The 22,759-nt window shown below is 39.6% G+C and overlaps 1 protein-coding gene across 26 annotated transcripts in view; it reads left to right on the forward strand.

Moving 5' to 3' along the window:
* Positions 1-22,759, forward strand: part of FBXL2 (F-box and leucine rich repeat protein 2) — a 145,674-nt gene that overhangs the window by 72,589 nt on the left and 50,326 nt on the right. For 23 of the 26 annotated variants that reach the window (NR_146122.2, NR_146121.2, NR_146123.2 and 20 more), the window contains 3 exons: positions 9,354-9,408; positions 9,670-9,744; positions 15,012-15,106. The exons of 2 other annotated variants lie outside the window; for them this stretch is intronic. Coding sequence is in view for 2 of the 24 variants with exons in the window: in NM_001349316.2 (NP_001336245.1) it covers positions 9,354-9,408; positions 9,670-9,744; positions 15,012-15,106 (225 nt within the window). In the remaining 22 variants the exon portion in view is untranslated. The remainder of the gene's footprint in view (positions 1-9,353; positions 9,409-9,669; positions 9,745-15,011; positions 15,107-22,759) is intronic. One more of the 26 variants, NR_146129.2, reaches the window with a different exon arrangement.

Raw genomic sequence — 22,759 nt, forward strand, 5'->3', positions numbered from 1 at the left:
GAATGAGTTTGGAAGTATTCCCTCTTCATCTGTTTTTTGAAATAGTTTGAGTGGGATTGGTATTAATTTTTCTTCAAATGTTTGGCAGAATTCAGCAGTGAAGCCATGAAGTCCTGAGCTTTTCTTTACTTTAGTGACTTTTTATTATGGCTTTGATCTCATGTTCACAAATTTGATAACTTAGATGGAAAGGACTAATTCCTTGAAAGACACAAACTACCAAAAACTCACACAAAGAGAAGTAAACTGAATAGGCATATATAATAAAGAAATGTAATTAATAGTTAATAACCTTCCAAAACAGAAAGCACCAGACCCGGATGGTGGTTTTACTGGTGAATTCTACCAAACATTTAAGAAAGAAATGATACCAGTTCTCTATAATATTGTCCGGGAAATGGAAGCAGAAGACTTCCCTAACTCATTCTGGGTGCCCAGTGTTACTATAATACCAAGACCATATAAAAATATTACAAAAAAGGAGAACTCAAGACCAACATTTTTCATAAAAATAGATGCAAAAATATTTAACAAAATATTAGTAAGTCAAATCCAGTGATGTATAAAATAATTATATCCCACAATAAAGCAGAATTTATTTCAAATATGCAAGGATATTTTAACATTCAAAAGTCAGTGTAATCTATTACATCAACAGACTAAAGAAAAAAATCATGTGGTCACATCAGAAAATGCAGAAAAAATATTTGGCAAATTGTGGCACCCACTCGTGATAAAAATACTTATCAGACTAGGAATAGAGAGGAACTTCCTGATTTGATAAAGAACATCTACACAAGACCTACAGCTAACATCATAATTTTTTTTTTTTTTTTAAAGACAGAGTCCAGCTCTGTTGCCCAGGCTGGAGTGCAGTGGTGCAGTCTCTGCTCACTGCAACATCTGCCTCCCAGGTTCAGGTGATTCTCCTGCTTCAGCCTCCCCGGTAGCTGGGATTACAGGCCTGCGCCACCATGCCTGCCTAATTTTTTTGTATTTTTTAGTAGAGATGGGGTTTCAACATATTGGGCAGGCTAGTCTCAAACTCCTGACCTCAAGTTATCCACCCACTTTGGCCTCCCAAAGTGCTGGGATTACAGGTGTGAGCCACCGTGCCTAGCCAACATCATACTTAATGATGAGAAACTAGATGCTTTCTCCCTGAGATTGGGAAAGAAAAAGATGTCCCCTTTCACCACTCCTGTTAATCACAGTATTGGAAGTCCTATCTAATGTAATAAGGCAAGAAAAGAAAAGATATACATTGGAAAGAGATAAAATTGGCTTTGTTTGCAGTTGACACAATTGCCCATGTCATGAAACCCCCAAAGAATTGACAAAAAAAAATAGTAATAATAAACCTCCTCCTGGGCCGGGCGTGGTAGCTCACGCCTGTAATCCCAACACTTTGGGAGGCTGAGGCAGGTGGATCACCTGAGGTCAGGAGTTTGAGACCAGCCTGACCAACATGGTGAAACCCTATCTCTACCAAAAAATACAAAAATTAGCCGGGCATGGTGGTGGTAGCTGTAATCCCAGCTACTCAGGAGGCTGAGGCAGGAGAATCGCTTGAACCGGGAGGCAGAGATTGCAATGAGCCAAGATTGCGCCACTGCACTCCAGCCTGGGTAACAGAGCAAGATTCTGTCTCAAAAAAATAAAATAAATAAACCTCCTCCTGTAACTAATTAGCAATTATAGTAAGGTTACAGGATCTAACATTAATATTACAAAAGTTAATTACTTTCCTATATACCTGTAATGAACTACTGGAATTTGAAATTTAAAATAATACTGTTTACATTAGCATCAAAAAAATGAAATACCTAAGTATAATTCTGAAGAAAATTTTGTAAGATCTATATGAGGAAAACTACAAAACTCCAGTATTCCAGTGAAAGAAATCAATGAATATCTTAATAAGTGAAGAGATATTACATATTCATGGATAGGAAGACTCAGTATTGCTAAAATGTTAACTTTTTTCAAGTTGATATATAGATTCACCAAAATCCAAATCAAAATTTTACTAAATTACTTTGTGAGCAACAGGAGCAACAAGAACTCTTATTCATTGTTGGTGAGGATTCAAAATGGTACCGCCAGTTTAGAATACAGCTTGGCAGTTTCTTACAAAGCTAACCATAAATGTATCATTTAGTCAAGCGGTCGTATATTTAAGTCACAAAACTGGTTTTGTGGATGTTCGTAAAACCTGCTTGGAAAAGCAAGCTAGGTGCAGTGGCTTGTGCCTATAATCCCAGCAACACAGGAGGCTGAAGCAAGAGGATCACTTGAGGCCAGGAGTTTGAGACTGTCCTGGGCAACATAGTGGGACCCCCATCACTTAAAAAAAAAAAAAAAAAAAGTTAATATGGAGAAGCCAAAGACTGAGAAGAACCAGCACAGTACTGAATAAGAAAAAAGTCAGAGGACTGACACTATTGGACTAATTTTAAGACTTAGTATAAAGCTCCAGTAATCGAGACATGTAGCATTGGTGAAAGAATAGATTAATGGACCAATGAAACAGAATAGAGAGCCTAAAAGTAGAGCCACATAAATAGTCAACTGATCTTTGACAAAGGAGCAAAAGCAAGTCAATGGAGAAAGTATACATTTTTTTCGACAAATGGTGTTGGAAAAATTGGACATCTGTATTTAAAAAGATGAAGGTAGACACAGACCTTTCACAAATATCAACTCAAAATGGATCATATACCTAAAAGTAAAACACAAAATTTCTAGAAGAAGTGTAGGAGAAAATCTAGGTGACCTTAGATTTGGCAATGAACTTTTAGATACAACACCAAAAACACTACTCATGAAAGGAAAAGTGAGTAAATTGGACTTTATTAAAATTTAAAACATCTTCTCTGAGAAAGGCACTATTAAGAGAATGAAAACCACAGACTGAGAGAAAATATTTGCCAAATGTATAATAAAGGACTTGTGTGCAATATATGTAAAGAACTTTTAAAACTCAGCAGTGAGAAAATCAGCTGGGCTCTGTGGCTCACGCCTGTAATCCCAACACTTTGGGAGGCCAAGGTGGGCAGATCACTTAAGGTCAGGAGTTCAAGACTAGCCTGGCCAAAATGGTAAAAATCCGTCTCTACTAAAAATACAAAAATTAGCTGGGTGTGGTAATGTGTGTCTGTAATCCCAGCTACTGAGGAGGCTGAGGCAGAGAATTGCTTGAATACGGGAGGCGGTGGTTGCAGTGAGCTGAGATCACACCACTGCACTCCAGCCTGGGCAACACAGTGAGACTCTGTCTCAAAACAAAACAAAACAAAACAAAACAAAACAAAAAAACCCATCTCAATAGTGAGAAATAACTCAATTTTTTAAATGGGCAAAAAATCTGAACAGATATTTTACCAAAGAAGATATGCAGATGACAAGCATAAGAAAAGATGCTTAATATGATATGTCACTAGAGAATTGAAAATTAAGACAATGAGATACCACTGTATACCTATTAGAATGGGTAAATCTCAAAAATCTAAATACAAAATGGTGGTAAGATGCAGAGCAACAGGAACACTTATTCACTGTTAGTGAGGATTCAAAATGGTACAGCCAGTTTAGAATACAGCTTGGCAGTTTCTTGCAAAGCTAACCATAAATGTATCATTTAGTCAAGCAGTCACATACCTAAGTATTTATCCAAATGAGTAGAAAATTTATATCCACACAAAAACCTACACACAAATGTTTATAGCAGAATTATTCATAATCACCCCAAACTAGAAGCAACTAAGATGTCCTGCAATAGGCGAATGGATAAACAAACTGGTATATTCACACAATGAGATATTTTTCAGCAATAAAACACCGTAAGTTATCATGCCATGAATAGACTTGGAGGAGCCATAAATGCATGTTGCTAAGTAAAAGAAGCCAGTCTGAACGGTTACGTAGTGTTTGATTCCAATCATATGGCATCTGGAAAACACAAAACTATAGCGACATTAGAAAGATCAGTGGGGCTGGGCACAGTGGCTCACGCCTGTAATCCCAGCACTTTGGGAGGCCAAGGCAGGAGAATTGCTTAAGGCCAGGAGTTCAAGACCAACCTGGACAACATAGACCCCATCTCTTCAAAAAATTTTTTTTTCTAATTAGTTGGGCATGGTGGTGTGGCTTTACTTTCCCCTGCTTGGGAGGCTGAGGCGGGATGATCGAGTGAGCCCAAGAGGTTGAGGCTGCAGTGAGCCATGATCATACCACCATACTCTAGCCTGGGTGACAGTATGAGACCATGTCTGGGAAGAAAAAAATCGGTAGTGGCCAAGGGTTCATGAGAAAGAGAGGAGGGATGAATAGGTGAAACATGTTGTTGACAGTAAACTATTCTATGTGATACTGTAATGGCAGCTACATGACATGCATTTGGCAAAACCTCTAGAACTAACTATATAATACAGAGTGAACTTTGTTGTAAACTATAGACCTTAGTTAATAATAATGTATCAATTTGGTTCATTAATTGTAACAAATGTACCACACTAATACAACATGTTAATGATAGGGGGAACTATGTGTGTCTGTTGGTGGGGGTGTATATAGTAACTCTCTATACTACTTGCTCTTATTTTAAATAAAAATTTTAGGCTGGGCCCAGTGGTTCACGCCTGTAATCCGAGCACTTTGGGAGGCCGAGGCGGGTGGATCACCTGAGGTCAGGAGTTCGAGACCAGCCTGACCAATATAGTGAAACCCCGTCTCTACTAAAAATACAAAAATTGGCCGGGTGTGGTGGTGGGCGCCTGTAATCCCAGCTACTCAGGAGGCTGAGACAGGAGAATTGCTTGAACCTGGAGGCAGAGGTTGCAGTGAGCCGAGATCACGCCACTACACTCCAGCCTGGGTGACAGAGTGAGACTCCATCTGGAAAAAAAAAAAATTAAAGGGGAGATAAACAAATGTGAAAGGTGTTAAAATTGTGCATGTGCCAAATGGAAATATTTTACAGTCTGTAACAAAGGAATTATAAAATAATTGAAAGGCAGGAAAAAAAAACCTATAGTAAACATCATAATTGAATAGTGGCAGCTTTTTCTCTGAGATGAGAATGAGACAAAGATGTATTTCATTATCGGTTGTATTTATCATTGTACTAGAGAAGATCATAGCCACTGTAATAAGCAAAAGAAATAGAAAGTATAATTATTGGAAAGGAGGAAAGTTAGTTCATTATTCACTGGTGAATTGATATTTTATGTGGAAAATCAGAATGAATGGACAAATTTAGAAATATTGTTGGGTACAGGGTCAGTATATGAAAATTAACATTATATACTGGCAGCAATTAAAGAATGACATTTAAAATATTCCTTTTTTTTGAGACAGGGTCTCCTTCTGTTGCCCAGGTTCATAGCTCACTGAAGGCTTGACCTCCCCGGGCTCTGTTAGTCCTACCATCTCCACCTCCTGAGTAGCTGGGACTATGGGCATGCGTCACCACACCTGGCTAATTACTGTATTTTTTGTAGCAATGGGGTTTCACCATGTTGCCCATGCTGGTCTCGAATTCCTGGGCTTGGGTGATCCTCCTCCCTTAGCCTTCCAAAGTGCTGGGATTATAGGCATGAGCCACCACTCGCTGCCAAAAAATATTCCATTTTAATAAGAACGTCAAATAACCAGGAAAAACAATCTAAAGATGAGCAAGGTATCTATCTGGAAAACTACAAAAATTACTGTGAAAAATTAAAGAAATCCTAAATAAATTTTGAAATGGATCATGTTTCTGGATTGGAAGATTTAATATTGTAAAAATCTCAATTATTCCCAAATTTTCTACAAATTCAGTGCAATCCCAGTAAAAATTTCAGAAAGTTTTCTTGTAGAAATTGATATGCTGATTCTGAAACTTAATAGGAAATTCCGAGGATCAAGAATAACTAAGATAATCTTGATGAAGAAGAACAAAGTTGAAGGACTTACGTTACCAGACATTGTGACTTATTATTAAAGCTTCATAATTAAAACAGCCTTAGTGGCACAAAGACAGACTAATGGAGCAGAATACAAAGTCCAAAAGTATATCCAATCCCTTACTCCCCTGTGATTATTTATAACCAGGGTGCTATTGCAGTGCTTGCCTTGTAAAGCTGAGGCTATCACATTTGAGATAAGGAAGCACTTTCTAGGAAAGAATGTTTTGAAGGAGTCAGAACTCAGTTTGCCACTCATGTCGCTATCTCCGTTTCTATTGACAGTATCCCAGGCTGTGTAATTCAGGGCATTACTTTTACTCGTCGAAACATGAGTCAGGAATTGGCTTTGGTGTCAGTGTGGTAGTTTGGAGTATTGCCACGCCTATTTGTGCAAATTCAACTACTTTCAGTTTAAAAGGTTGGGGAGAGATGGGAAATAATGTAAATACTTTAGGCAATCTATTTTTTCATTCAGTAATCATAAAACTAGGTATGAGATGAGATGAGAAATGTGAATTCCTGTTGCACCTGTTGGTTCCTATGTGTCTCAGCGTGTGAGCTCTTGCTTCACTTGTGAGTGAAGCATGAGTCCAGTTTGTTCCAAACAACATACTCACTAAACGAAAACTACTTCATTTATTATTATCAGTTAAGAAATAGCACTGTCGACCTAAATAAGGAAACTGAGGCAAAATTAATCTAGAGAGTTTATTTGGGGCAAGTTTGAGATTGCAGCTCAGGTAACACTGGGAAGTGATCCCGAGAATAAAGGAGTTGCTCGAGTTGGTTTGTTTTGTTTTGTTTTTTTGAGATGGAGTCTCGCTCTGTCGCCAGGCTGGAGTGCAGTGGCGGATCTCGGCTCACTGCAACCTCTGCCTCCTGGGTTCAAGCGATTCTCCTGCCTCAGCCTCCTAAGTAACTGGGACTACAGGTGCACACCACCACGCCCAGCTAATTTTTATATTTTTAGTAGAGATGGGGTTTCACTGTGTTGACCAGGTTGATCTCAATCTCTTGACCTTGTGGTCCACCCGCCTCAGCCTCCCAAAGTGCTGAGATTACAGGTGTGAGCCACTGTGCCCATCCTGCTCGAGTTTCTAAAGAAAAAAGGATGAATCAGGAGAGGGGCAATTACAAAAGTTGTTTTTGGGAACTCTTACGGGTTTCCAGAAGTAGCATTGATTAGTGATTGATCGTACATTGTTGAACTATGGGGTAGGAGTTAGAGTATCAAGCATATGGTATTGTTAGGTTACTTTATAGCTACTTGTGTCAGTCACTCTAGAGCCCACATAGCGGCTCACATCTCTTAGATTAAAAGTTTCTTTTCTTTCTCAGGATCTAGCCCAATCCTGAGGGAAAAGCAGCTGTGTTAAGCGTTCCAAAGCAGTATATGTAGTGGTCATGGCTTGTGCTCTTGAACCAGACTACCTGGGTTCAAATCCTAGTTCAGTGTGCCCTGGGCAGGTTACTTAACCTCTATGCTCAGTGTCCTTATCTGTAAAATGGAGATAGTAATAGCACAACACCTCATAGCAGTGAACTAGCATATAAACCATGGTTGGCACATAGTTGGTGCATAATCAATGTTAACTATTTTTGTTATTACCAGTATTGTTATTACTGAGACGTGATAAAGGTGGTATGCTCTTAAGGTATTTTCAAGGGAAACAGCTAACTCTTTTTTTACCTTTGGCTTATGCTTTTAGAACCCAATCCCTGCATGAAATATGATTCTACTGTACCAGGCTAGTTTCTCTGTTTGGTGTTTGTTTCTGTAGGGAGCTGATAATCAGATGTGGCTAGCTGTGGGATGGTCATATGTCACAGAACACAGCTATTAGGGGCAGGAGAGCCTTTGTGTTGGGCAAGGTAGATGTGTAGATATCCTAAAATATATTGAATATGTATGTTTAAGTACACATATTTTAGCCACCAGCATTTTTCTATGTACAAAGATCCACTGAGTCTTTTTTTTTTTTTTTTTTGAGACGGAGTCTCGCTGTCGCCCAGGTTGGAGTGCAGTGGCGCTATCTCGGCTCACTGCAGGCTCCGCCTCCCGGGTTCACGCCATTCTCCTGCCTCAGCCTTTTGAGTAGCTGGGACTACAGGTGCCCGCCACCTCGCCCGGCTAATTTTTTGTATTTTTAGTAGAGATGGGGTTTCACCGTGTTAGCCAGGATGGTCTCGATCTCCTGACCTCGTGATCCGCCCACCTCGGCCTCCCAAAGTGCTGGGATTACAGGCGTGAGCCACCGCGCCCAGCCAAGATCCACTGAATCTTTTAAAGTCAGTGTAGCCCTTATTATGCTTCTATCCTTTGCTTTTCACTAGAAAATGATTGTAGCCTATATTGTAGGATGGCATCTATGCAGTCAGTATCCCATGGTACTGCATGTGGGTGCATTATTGTAGGGTACAACACTTTCATGTTTTATGATTCTACTCTTCTTCCCTGAGTCCGTGGATTTTTATCTCACCACCGATTGTTGCCTTTGAAGAATTTTGAGGAACATTATAGGTGGCTGTTCGCCATCTTAACCACTCTCCCCCTTCCACACTCAGAGGCACAGACTCTCATATTTACTTTCCAGGACTCTGAAAACTGAGGCACTACTCTTGTTCCTGACTTCAACCCTGTCCACCCTTCTTCTCACAGAAAAGCTGCCCTTTGTTTTTAGCTGTCACTCTGCAGTGCTGAGGCGCACACGGCTGTTTGCTCACATACTATGAGCAGCAGCTCCTCTCCTTGACTGCCAGAATGTCGAGGCTTCACTCAGTCCCCTGCCATGCTGGCAGCTACTGCTTCCTCTAAGGCATTACTGATGCCAACCAAGATTTTGTTTGCTTCTGTCTGCTTTTCTTCCCCCCACCTCTTCCCGCCCCATCTTTCCTATGTTCTCTGGCTCCTTGGCTTTTGCTTAGGAAAAACTGATCACTTATAGACTTTGCCAACTAATGAGCTCCATCTTTCTGCCAGGCAAACAAATACTTCAAACCAAATGGGCTTTGTCATCAAGCTTTTTTTGACAGTGTTATTTGAGGCTCAGGCATCTGAGCCTGTTCAGTGCATCTACCACCAAAAGAGGGCTTATGCTAGAGAGTTGGTCTTCAAATAGAACCAGTTATGGTCTTTCCTGTGTCCATTACTTAGAACAAGGGAAATATAAGCTTAATGAGTTCTAAGGTAATTTGTATTGTGTGTCCAAAATAGCTTCTGAACATGCAAACACTTAATATTTCACTGTAGTGATGTAAAGTTATAGTGCACTTGTATATTTCAGATTGAGGAATCTTGAAAAAACTTATGTATCCAGGTGGCGGATTAGAGTTTATCTTTCAAGTTATAATTATCCTGAAATGTTAACACCATCTCGTTTTTGTGTTTTTTTCCTCTCTCTGTAGAATATTTTCCTTCTTGGATATAGTAACTTTGTGCCGATGTGCACAGATTTCCAAGGTAGAGTATTCACCAGATTTTTTAATCAATAAATATCAAGTTTTATTAGAATGAGTTTTAGTTCAAATTACTGAAAATTAAAATTTTATTATCTTTTATACTTAATATAACATAATGGTATAATTTTGCATTTGATGATTAACTTAATATACATCAAAAATAGGAGTTTGGAAATAAAGGTTAATCAAGACTTTCTTTAATAGTCTCAATAAATGTGTTTCTTTCATCCCAATCCCTCTTCCTTTACCTCCCACCTTCCAGGCTTGGAACATCTTAGCCCTGGATGGAAGCAACTGGCAAAGAATAGATCTTTTTAACTTTCAAACAGATGTAGAGGTAAGTTAGCTTTGGTTTAGACAAAAAACTTTTTAAAAATATGAGTAGCTGTTCCCCCTTTCCTGACTTTTTATTTTACTGCATTTAGATCTAATATTAAAGTGCTGAGGTAGAACAGAAAGAAGAAAAACTGGAAGGGATTTGCATACATCAAAACAAAACCCTGCTTGCATTTTAAATTGTATCAGTAACAGATTTTTTTCCCTTGTTTATGTTTATAGTCTGAATTTTACTACTCAGCTTTTTAAAGCCACACACCTGCATCATTATCACCTGGTTCAGTGCTTTAACCTTAGGAGACTTGACAAATACTTATTGATCTAGAAAATCCACCGAGAATTCTAATTCAGCATCAAAAGTGGAGAAATGGCAGAAGCAGAAGCCCAAGAGTGAGGCTGGAGATCTAAAGTGTCACCCTAGCTTGGCCACTTAAGTCATATAATCTCTCAGTATTCTGTTTTATTATCTATAAAATAAAGTAATAATTAAGTCTTATACAATTATTATATACAGAATATATAAGATTCTGATATATTTATCTGTAAATATGTAAATATCTCCATTTAAGTGTGGTAAACCTGATGAAATGAGGAAAGTTTATGTTAAAACAACTTTGATATTCAATACTAAATTTCTAACCAAAAAGAAAGTTTAGGCAGGGAATAAAAAAAGAGCATTGTACTTAGGAATTGTCTGAAGTGCTGGTTTGAGGGTCTTGAGATTCTGAAGTTTATTTTCTACCTAATATAAAACCTAATTGATTTCCAGTTTAGCAAACTTACAGTAGTGGAAATGCATTTTAATTTAGTTACTCACATAGTATGTTTGCTATGTGTTTTTACCAAGATGTATATATTGGTTTTTTTTTGTTTGTTTTGGATAAGGAAATGAATGTGTTTAACAGTAGGATTGAGCTAAGCAATTTCCTGCTAGCTACTTAACCTGGCTTGACCTAGACAAACTAATGATCTAGGTCAGTTGTGGAGACTCTTCACCTCCTTCTCTAGGTTACTTACTGCCTGAGAGTCTCTGGTTCTCATCTTAAACCAGTGGAGCACAATACTTACAGTAAGTGGGGCAGAGCAGAAGATTTCCCTTTATTAAATAAAGGGGGAAACCCCTTATTTCTGTCATATTGTGGTGCTCTGCTCTTGGAAGGGGGCAGGGACCTCAAGGATTCACGCCCATCCTGGAAAGATAAGCTCTAGTTCCTGGCTTAACACTGTAGTTTCTGAATTAGGTGTTCTTTAGTGCTCTTTTGAGACTTAACAGCAGTGATTACAATAGTACTCCACCTAAACATGCCAGCATTCCATGCCAGTGAATATAATTGCCCTTCAAACTGATCATACCTAACTCTTTGTTCACTATGTTTACTTAGTGATGATGTGGAGGACATTTAATTTCTAAAAATTGTAGTCATTTCTACTGACCACAAAGTAGAGTTATTGTTTTGAAAAAATTGAGCAAAATACTTACTCTTTTTCTGTGGTTCTTCATGTCTCCTCAATTTTGATGACTTTTCCAACCATACAACTTTTTTGGAAAGCACATGAAGAACTTTTTTTTTTTTTTTTTTTTTTTTTTTTTTTGAGACAGAGTCTCGCTCTGTCACCCAGGCTGGAGTGCAGTGGCGTGGTCTCGGCTCACTGCAAACTCCACCTCCTGGGTTCATGCGATTCTCCTGCCTCAGCCTCCCATGTAGCTGGGACTACAGGCGCCTGCCACCACGCCCGGCTAATTTTTTTTTTTTTTTTTTTTGTATTTTTAGTAGAGACGGGGTTTCACCATGTTAGTCAGGATGGTCTCGATCTCCTGACATCGTGATCCGCCCGCCTCGGCCTCCCATGAACTTTTAAAGTCAGGCTGGGTGCAGTGGCCCACACCTGAAATCCCAACACTGTGGGAGGCCATGGCGGGCAGATCACTGGAGCCCAGGAGTTCAAGACCAGCTTGGGCAACATAGCAAAACTGCGTCTCTACAAAAAAATGAAAAAACAAAAGTTAGCCAGGCACAATGGCACATGCCTGTAGTCCTGGCTACTCAGGAGGCTGAGGTGGGAGGATCACCTGAGCCCAGGGGGCAGAGGTTGCAATGAGCTCTGATTGTGCCATTGCACTCTAGCCTGGGTGACAGAGTGGGGCCCTGTCTCAAAAAAAAAATTATTTTGATATTAAAAAGTACTACTATTTCAAGTAAATATCACTACCTTGTGCATTATTTGATTACAAGATTTTAGCTGACTGCTGACTTTCAGCTAACTGCCATATAAACACATCCCAGAAATACTTAAAAGTATATCCACCAAAGGGGAAGCCAGTTTATGGTTTACCAGTTATATAAAGAATTGTATGTGAAAACCTAAAATAGCTGGCACCAGAGTTTCAATCTAGTCATAACACTTAGCTTCCCTTTTGGGCTAGCCCCCTTGGTCCACCCTAGATTATGAACCAGTCTTGGGGTCTGCCATAGTCCTTAAACAAGACCCTTTGGAGGATGCTTGCCCTAGGAAGCATTTTATGGATAGTCTTAAAAATATGCACTTTGGGAAGGAAATGGTAACTTTTGGATATGGTTGAGAGAAAAGAGAAGTTGCCAAGGATCAGGATCAACACACTAATAATATTTGTTGTGTGCCTGACACTGTTGTAAGTACCATATTAAAGAAACTGAGGCAAAGAAAAGGTTGAGTAACTTACCCAAGGTCACTCACCTACTAAGAGGAGACTGTAGGTATCTTGAACGGTGGGTTGCATGACTGGCACATGAAGAAAAGGCAGAGTAAAGCATCTAGGTGACAAGTGCACACGGTACCTTCCTTCCTCATCACTCTTTCCTGAATACGTGTAGTTTACCTGAAGTTTGGGTTGGCATTTTCTGTGCCTTTAAAACTTGGACATTTTGTTGTCAGTGTCTTCATGGTTATTGAAGATTGTGCTAGGCCAAAAATGAGAAATAACTAAGTAGTGTGTGAATCTAAAAGTGATAACTCCAGGGGTCTTTAGCCCATTTTAGGGCTTATTTTTCTCTAAAGCCCTTCATTCTAAAAGCATGCCTATAACATATTGTCTAGTAGATAAGACACAGAGTCACTGGCTTGAATATTGCACTGAAATGGATTTGCATTTTCCCCCTCTTAGTTGGAAACAGTGGAACAGAAAATTGTGTATGTAGTTTTGTATTCCAGTACAAGAACTTTGCCCCAAAAGGGGAGGACTAGAAAGTTTATATAAATGTTACTAACTTGATATTCCCCATCCTGTGTCCATGTGTTCTCATTGTTCAATTCCCTGTATACATATGTAACAAACCTGCACATTGTGCACATGTACCCTAAAACTTAAAGTATAATAATAATAAAATTTAAAAAAATGTTACTAACTTGAAATGGAGAAGAGTATATTAGGTGCTCTATTTGTAGACATTGGTGTAGAGCTGCTTTTTTTTTTCCTGTTTATTAGGTACTTAAATATATATCTTTGATTTCTAAGTCATAATCTTTTTCCCCCTGGTGACAAAGATTTATTTTACAGTTGTCTGGAATTTTGCTTCAAAAAATATTAATAATCATTAATGCAAGTAGTCTCAAGAAAGTATAAATAAATGCTAGCAGTATCAAAGATTGGATTTTCAACATAATTAAGATGTTAGCTAGGTAACAATATGTATCCTGTGGGGTTTTTTGTTTGTTTGTTTTTATGAGACAGAGTCTTGCTCTGTCACCCAGGCTGGACTGCAGTGGCATGATCTTGGCTCACTACAACCTCTGCCTCCCAGGCTCAAGCGGTTCTCCTACCTCAGCCTCCCAAGTAGCTAGGACTACAGGCATGCCCCACCATGCTCTGCTGATTTTTGTATCTTTAGTACAGAAAGGGTTTCACCATGTTGGCCAGGCTGGTCTCAAACTCCTGACCTCCAGTGAATCACCTTCCTCAGCTTCCCAAAGTGCAGGGATTACAGGCGTGAGCCACTGCACCTGGCCCCTGTGGTTTTGATGTATCCTGGTGAATTCATCATGCTTACAGTTCAGTGCCAAGATTGCTGTTTTATAAAATGAGGATAACATTATTCAAAACCAATCAAATTGTCCCTTTGAACTTTTCCTCCCTTGTGGAGGTAGAGGTTGTAGTTAGTATTTATAACTACCTTCTTCCACAATGCATTTCTGTATTCCTTTGCCTTCAGCAAGCACCTCAGCTGGTGATGGTTCTTTACCTGGTGGAATGACTCAGACCTTTATTCCTGAAGGTCTGGTCATTAATAGTCGTGCTTGGATTGGGTTGTTGTAGTTTGCTACTGACATAAATCACAGGGCATGGTAGTACTACAGGATGCCCTAAGGGATCTTCTGTATTCCACACATACTCTTTCTTACCTCCATTTTGGGAGTGTTCATGAAGTTTTTTGACTATTAAATGAGCCATAATAGGTACAAGAAATTGTTCCTCAAAAAGTGGAAGTAAACCAGGTGCCATGGCATGTTCCTGTAGTCCTAGCTACTCCATAGGCTGAGGCAGGAGGATCACTTGAGCCCAGGAATTTGAGGCTGCAGTGAGCTATGACCACATCACTATACTCCAATCTGGGCACCAAAGCGAGACCCCCCAACACCAACCCTGTCTCTAAAGAAAAAAAGTGATTTGAAATAGAAAACATTTTTTAAAAAGTGGAGGTGCTTAATCATTGTTCATTGTTCATTTTCTTTTTGCTTCCTCTAATATCTCTGCCAGTACTCAACAAAAGTTCCTTTTTCAAAGCAAATGTGTTTAAGCAGAGGACAGCTAAGGAGGATGAGGGGGAGCTTTTGCAATATATTGTTATACTTTTGAAGTGGTAATGCTTAGCTCAAGTAGGATTTTCTTTTTAAAGCAGCATTGTCTTAGATCTCTGCTCAGTGGCTGGTATTCCCACAGCTAACCTCAAAAAGCCTTTTGGTTGGTGGAATAGCTGTGACCTGGGTAGGGAGGGCCTAACCCCAGGGCTAAGGCTTTCAAAAGGCAGTGTACAGGTTTTGGTTTTTGCATTTGTGTTTGTTTTTGTTTGTTGGTTGGTTTTAGAATACTTAATGCTTTAATTGGACCATTTTTCAGTGCTTGCAGCCCCTGTATGCATTAAGGATAGAACTGAGGTGTTACAGGAATGTTCCAAAATATTTTCTGTTACACTTGGAAAAATATATTCAGTTCCTAGATTTCAGGTTATTTTGCTGTTAGATAAGCAGCATGAAAAAACAGTATTTTTTCCTCCCGAACTTTCTTGATTAAAGGGTCGAGTGGTGGAAAATATCTCGAAGCGATGCGGTGGATTCCTGAGGAAGCTCAGCTTGCGAGGCTGCATTGGTGTTGGGGATTCCTCCTTGAAGTAAGTCAAATCCAGTGACTCACTGTCATGGCAGCTTGTAGCATTTTCATCAGCAAAAATAAACCAAGCCTATTACATGCTCTTCTTCTGTTAAAATTCTTTCTGTGGTAATTTGCATAGAGTAATGAGAGGACCAGGACTTTGGAATAGCAAACCTGGGTTGGAAACCGAGCTGTACTGTTGTTAGGGATGTGACCTTGGGACAAATTATTTCCCCCGGCCGAGTGTCAGTTCTCTCTTCTGCAAAGTCAGGGCAGCTATAGCTCCCACAGGACTGTCATAGGCATAACAAGAAATAACATGTATGAAGTGCCTACCTCTTTTCTATTCCCTTCTTCACTTCGGCATCTTCCTAGTTTTCCTCTCATAATATTAGCTACCTTTATATATAAATTTTACTAATTGATAAAATAACTATTTCAAAAATTTCCTTGGCATAAGCTAGAATTTTGCTTACTCATAATGAGATGTGATTTTTACATTAATTTTATTACAGTTAGCAATATATCCTATACAACCAAATATTTGCCCATCTCTTACTGGATAGCCATTATTTATTGGGGTTTTTTTTTTTTTTTGAGACCGAGTCTCACTCTGTCACTCAGGCTGGAGTGCAACGGCACAATCTCAACTCACTGCAACCTCTGCCTCCCAGGTTCAAGTGATTCTCCTGCCTCAGCCTCCTGAGTAGCTGGGATTACAGGCGTGCACCACCATGCCCAGCTAATTTTTGTATTTTTAGTAGAGATGGGATTTCACCATGTTGGCCACGCTGGTCTTGAACTCCTGAGCTCACCCATCTTGAACTCCCAAAGTGCTGGGATTACAGGTGTGAGCCACTGCACCCAGGCTATTGGGAATGTTATCAATGCTAAGGATGTGTACTGGCCAGGCACAGTGGCTCATGCCTGTAATCCCAGCTCTTTGGGAGGCTGAGGTGGAACGATCCCTTGAAGCCAGGAGTTTGAGACCAGTGTGGGCAGCAAAATGAGACTCTTCGACCAAACAAACAAACAAACAAACAAACAAACAAACCAACAACAATTTGTGCTTTGAGGATTTCTGGAGACAGAGATGATTAAAACCTTCATGTCTTTATCCTCATGGCCTCTAGTATTGCTTATGAGTTTGGCTAAAATTAGGATATACCCCCCATAACCTTGGAATACACTTTGTGTTCTTGCAGACCTAAATATTACCACAATGTACAGCAATCACAGACTTCCAGTAAGAATGTGCAACATACAGTGAATGCAGACAGTAGAATTTATAATTCAAACATCTGCTATACCATTGCTGAAAAAAAATTGATTCACAACATCTTTTAAGTATAAAAACACTCACTTTAAATGTTATGGAACAAAATGATTTTCCTTAAATGAAGAAAATTCTTTAAATCATGAATTAGATTGGCTCTTTTAAACATGTTTAAACAACCCTCCATCACTCATATAAAGCACACTTGAATTGCCATGTATTATTTATTTTATATATTATTGGATCCTATTTGCTACAATTTTGTTAAAAAATTTTGCATTTGTGGTCATGAGGAATATTGTCTTATGATTTTATTTTCTTATAATGCTTTTGTCTGGTGTAGGTATCAAGGTAATACTGGCTTCATGGAGTGAATTGGGAAGTATTTCCTCCTATTCACATTTCTGGGGGTGTGTTCAGTGGCTGACATCTATAACCCCAGTGCTTTGGGAGGCCAAGGTGGGAGAATCACTTGAGCCCAGGATTTTGAGACCAGCCTGAGCAACACAGCAAGACCCCATCTCTAAAAAAAAATTAAGTAGCTGGGTGTGGTGGTGCATACCTGTAGTCCTAGCTATTTGGGAGGCTAAAGTGGGAAGATCACTTGAGCCCAGGAGTTCAAGGCTGCAGTGAGCTATGATCACACCACCATACTCAAAGCTGGGTGACAGAGTGAGACTCTATCTCTGAAAAATAAAAACAATTTGGCTGGGTGCGGTGGCTCATGCCTGTAATCCCAGCACTTTGGGAGACTGAGGCGGGTGGATCACTAGGTCAGGAGATTGAAACCATCCTGGCTAACACAGTGAAACCCTGTCTCTACTAAAAATACAAAAAATTAGCTGGGCGTGGTGGCAGGTGCCTGTAGTCCCAGCTACTCGGGAGGCTGAAGCAGGAGAATGGCCTGAACTCGGGAGGTGGAGCTTGGCAGTGAGCAAGCAACAGAACGAGACTCCATCTCAAAAATAAATAAATTAAATAAAAAAACAATTTTAAAAAATTCTGGGAGTGTTTATGTACAATTTGTATTTTTTAAAAATGTTTTGTAGAATTCACTATTGAAGCCGTCTGCTCCTACATGTTTTTTTGGGGGAAGGTTTTTAATTACAAAGTCAGTTTCTTTTTTTTTTTCTTTTTAGATGGAGTTTCACTCTTGTTGCCCAGGCTGGAGTGCAATGGCACAGTCTTGGCTCACTGCAACCTCAAAGGATTCTCCTGCCTCAGCCTCCCAAGTAGCTGAGATTACAGTCACCCACCACCATGCCTGGCTAATTTTATATTTTCAGTAGAGACGGGGGTTTCACCATGTTGGCCAGGCTAGTCTTGAAGTCCTGACCTCAGGTGATCTGCCTGCCTCGGCCTCCCAAAGTGCTGGGATTATAAGCGTGAGCCACCGCACCCGGCCTCAATTTCTTTAATATGTATAGAACTCTTCAGATTATTTCTTCATAAATGAGTTTTGGTAGTCTGCGTCTTTCAAGGAATTTGTCAATTTCACCTAAGTTCCTGGACTTATTAGCATTAAGTTGTTTATAATATCCTCTTATTTTAATATCTGTAAAATCTGCAGTGATATCCCCTCTCATTTCTGAAATTGGTAATTGTTGTCTTTTTTTTTTTGGTCCTCGTCAGTCTGGCTATTAAGAGGTCTATCAATTTTATTGATATTCTCAAAGAACCAGCTTTTGTTTTCACCCATTTTTCATTGTTTTTCTGTTTTCTACTTCATTTATTTCCACTCTGATCTTTATTATTTCCTTCCTTTTGGTTACTTTGGGCTTCATTTGTTTTTGTTTTTGTTTTTTCTCTAGTTTCTTAAGATGGAAGCTGAAGTCATTGGTTTGAGACCTTTTTTTCTAGTATGGGAGTTTAATGACATAAACTAAGTCAATACTTTGGGGAAAATTTATGCCACAAATTCTTATATGCTATGTTTTCATTTTCATGCAAAATGCATTCTAATTCCCCTTTTGATTTCTTCCATGACCCATGGGTTGTTTAGAACAATATTATTTAGTTTCCAAATATTTGGACATTTTCCAGAAGAGCACGTTAATGATTCCTAATTCAATTCAGTTGTGATCACAGAACATAGTTATACCCTGAATCCTTTTAATTTTATTGAGACTTGTTTTGTGGCCAGTAATATGGCCAGTCTTGGCAAGTGTCCCATGTGCACTTGAAGAGAATGTATATTCTGCTGTTAGATGAAGTGTGCCATAAATGCCAGTAGGTCAGGTTGGTTGATAGTGTTGAGCAGATCTTCTATATTCTTACTAATTTTCTGACTACTAATTTATCAACTAATAAAAGGAGTATTGAAATATCTGCCTATAATTTTGCATTTGTCTATTTCTCCTCACAGTCCTATCAGCTCTTGCTTCAAGTATTTTGAAGCTCTGTTACTATGTATATAAACATTTAGAATTGCTATGTCTTTTTCATTGATTGTCCTTCTTTTATTCCTGATAGTTTTCTTTACTATAAAATCTTCTTTGTCTGATATAGTCATTCCAGCTTTCTTTTGACTAGTGTTGGCATTATATATGTTTTTCCATCATTTTATTTTAATCTATTTGTATCTATATTTAAAGTTGATTTTTTATAGTTGGGTGTTGCTTTTTTTTCCTTTTTTTTAGATGGAGTCTTGCTCTGTCGCCCAGGCTGGAGTGCAGTGGAGTGCAGCTCACTGCAGCCTCTGCCTCCTGAGTTCAAGCCATTCTCCTCAGCCTTCCGAGTAGCTGGGACCACAGGCGTGTGCCACCACGCCCAGCTAATTTTTTATATTTTTAGTAGAGATGGGGTTTCACCATGTTAGCTAGGATGGTCTTGATCTCCTGACCTTGTGATCCGCCTTCCTTGGCCTCCCAAAGTGCTGGGATTACAGGCGTGAGCCACCGTGCCCAGCTGGGTGTTGCTTTTTATCCAATATGACAATCTTTGCTTTTTAATTTGTGTTAGACCATTTGCATTTAATGTGATTATTATGGTTAGGTTTAAATCTACCCTCTTGCTGTTTGTTTTCTATTTGTCCCATACATCCTTTTTTCTCTTTTCCTCTTTTTCTTTCTTCTTTTAGATTTTTTTTTTTTTGAGACAGGGTCTTGCTCTGTTGCCCAGGCTGCAGTGCAGTGGCACAATCTCGACTCACTGCAGCCTCTGCCTCCTGGGTTCAAGCGATTCTCGTGCCTCAGACTCCCAAGTAGCTGGGACTACAGGCATGGGCCACCTTGCCTGGATAAGTTGTATATTTTTAGTAGAGACAGGTTTTCACCATGTTGCCCAGGCTGGTCTTGAACTCCAGACCTCAAATGATCTGCCCACCTCAGCCTCCCGAAGTGCTGGGATTACAGGCATGAGCCACCATGCCTGGCCGAGATTAAGTGTTTTTTATGATTTCATTTTATATTCTTTTTTAGCTTCATTTCTATAGCTCTTCATATGTTTAGTTGTTGCTTTAGAGTTTATTGACTGCATCTTTGATTTAGTACAGTCTACCTTCATATTGTATTACATAACACTTCCACTTCTCCTCACTCGGTTGTCATACATTTTAATTCTACTTACATAAACTTCATAATAGATTTAGTATCTTTAACAGCCAATTATTTTTAAGAGATTTATTATTATCATTATTATCATTATTATTATTATTTTAGATAGTCTCACTCTGTCACCCAGGCTGGAGTGCAGTACCATGGTCTAGGCTCAGTGCAACGTCTGCCTCCCAGGTTCAAGTGATTCTTGTGCCTCAGCCTCCCAAGTAGCTGAGACTACAGGCATGTACCACCCCGCCCGGCTAATTTTTGTACTTTTAGTAGAGACAGAGTTTTGCCCAGTTGGCCAGGCTGGTCTCAAACTCCTGGCCTCAAGTGATCTGCCTGCCTCAGCCTCCCAAAGTGTTGGGATTACAGGCATGAGCCACAGTGCCCGGCCTATTTTTAAGAGATTTAAATTTAAAAGTTGTATACACCCAAGTAGTTGCTATGTCCAGTCATTCCTTTCTGTAGACACATATTTTTATCTGGTATCATTTTCTTTCTGCATAAAGAAGTTTTTTTACATTTCTTTTACTGCAAGTCTGATTAATTCTTCCAGCTCTTCTATGTCTAAAAAAATCTGTTTTTTCCTCCACTTAAAAAAAATATTTTTGCTGGGCCAGGTGCAGTGGCTCACGCCTGTAATCCCAGCACTTTGGGAGGCTGAGGCGGGCGGATCATGAGGTCAGGAGATCGAGACCATCCTGGCTAACACAGTGAAATCCCGTCTCTACTAAAAATACAAAAAAAAAATTAGCCGGGCGTGATGGCGGGCACCTGTAGTCCAAGCCACTTGGGAGGCTGAGGCAGGAGAATGGCGTGAACCCGGGAGGCGGAGCTTGCAGTGAGCCGAGATTGCACCACTGCACTCCAGCCTGGGTGACAGAGCGAGACTCCGTCTCAAAAAAAAAAAAAAATTGCTGAGTCTAGAATTCTGTAGTGACTATTTTTTGTTTTTTGTATTTTAAGGATGGTGCTCCTCTGTTTTCTTGCTTTTTCATTACCAGTGATAAATCTGCTGTCACCCTTATGTTTTATTCTCTGTACATAACATGGCTTTGTTTTCTGGCTGTTTTTAGGGTTTTCCTATCACTGGTTTCTCTCTCTCTCTCTTCCTCTCTCTGGAGTCTCACTCTGTCACCCAGGGTGGAGTGCAGTGGCACCACCTTGGCTCACTGTAACCTCCACCTCCTGAGCTCAAGTGATCCTCCCACCTCAGCCTCCCAAGTGGCTGGGACTACAGGCACACACTACCACGCATGGCTAATCTGTCACTGGTTTTGATCAATTTGGTTATTATATGCCTTGGTGTGTTTTTCTTCATGTTTCTTGCACTTGTGGTTCTTTGAGTTCCTTGGGTCTATGGGTTTATTGTTTTCATAAAGTTTGGGGAAAATTTTGGCAATTATTTCTTCAGTATTTTTTCCTTCTTCCTCTGTCTCTCTTATTTAGTGATTCCAATCGCATGTATATTAGGTTGCTTGAAGTTGTCCTACAGTTCGTTCATGCTCTGTTCTATTTCTGTTTCTGTGTTTCGTTTTTGATAGTTGCTATTGCTATGTCTTCAAGTTCACTAATCTTTTCTTCTGCCATATCTAATCTGTTGTTAATCTCATCCAGTAAAGTTTTATATCAGCCATTGTGGTTTTCATTTTTTTTTTTTTTTTGAGATGGAGTCTCGCTCTGTGGCCCAGGCTAGAGTGTAGTGGTGTGATCAAGGGTCACTGCAACCTCCACCTCCCGGGTTCAAGTGATTCTCCTGCCTCAGCCTCCCAAGCAGCTGGAACTACAGGCATGTGCCACCATACCAGCTAATTTTTTTTTTTTTTTTTTTTAGTAGAGACAGGGTTTCACCATGTTGGCCAGGCTGATCTTGAACTTCTGACCTCAAGTGATCTGCTTGCCTCAGCTTCCCAAAGTGCTGGGATTACAGGTGTGAGCCACTGCATCTGGCCGGTTTTCATATCTAAAAGTTTAACTTGGATCTCTTATTTTTCCATGTGTCTACATAACATGTTTAATTGTTAGCTTCATAGAAATATATTCTAGGCAATAACATTATAACTTTTAATACCTTTGTTGTTTATGCTATTTGTGTCAGTTTAGAGTAGGTTTTGGTGGATTACCTTTTCTCTTTATTGTGGATATATTTTCCTCCTTCTATGAAAACATGATAATTTTTTGTTCAATGCCAGACATTTTGAATTTTACTTTGTTGGGTGCAGATATTTTTGTATTCCTATAAATACTCAGGTTTTGTTCTGGGATACAGTTGACTTAATTGGGAATAGTTCCTGTTAGGTCTTGTTTTTAAGATTTGTTAGGTTGTACCAAAGCAGTGTTTAGGGCTAATTATGCGCCACTCCTAAAGGAAGACTATTCTCAATACTCTACCCAATGCCCCAAGAATTGTGGCATTTTTCACTCTTGGTTGGTAGAAATGGGCACTATTCCTTGCCCTCGGTGAGCTCTGGCTACTGTTTCCTTTAATGCTTTTTGTTCATTCTGATTCCCTGGCCTTGGGCTTTGGGTAGTTTCATCACATGCATACATTGATCAGTGTGGTACTGAATTCTTTTTGTTGTTGTTGTTGTTTTGGAGATAGAGTCTCACTGTGTTGCCTAGGCTGGTCTCAAACTCTTGGGCTCAAGGGATCCTCCTGCTTTGGTCTCCCAAAGTGCTGGGATTACAGGCATGAGCCACCATGCCTGGCCTGTACTTAATTCTTGAGGGGCACCCTCCACAGATCTCTGGAGTTCTCTTTGTGACGTTCTCTCTACTCCAATGCTCTTGCCAGATAACTCCAGCTGCCTTGGTCTTCCTAGAATTTCAGCCCCATTTCTTCATCTCAGACAGT

This window comes from Homo sapiens, chromosome 3 (genome assembly GCF_000001405.40).
Source record: "Homo sapiens chromosome 3, GRCh38.p14 Primary Assembly".
Lineage (NCBI taxonomy): Eukaryota > Metazoa > Chordata > Mammalia > Primates > Hominidae > Homo > Homo sapiens.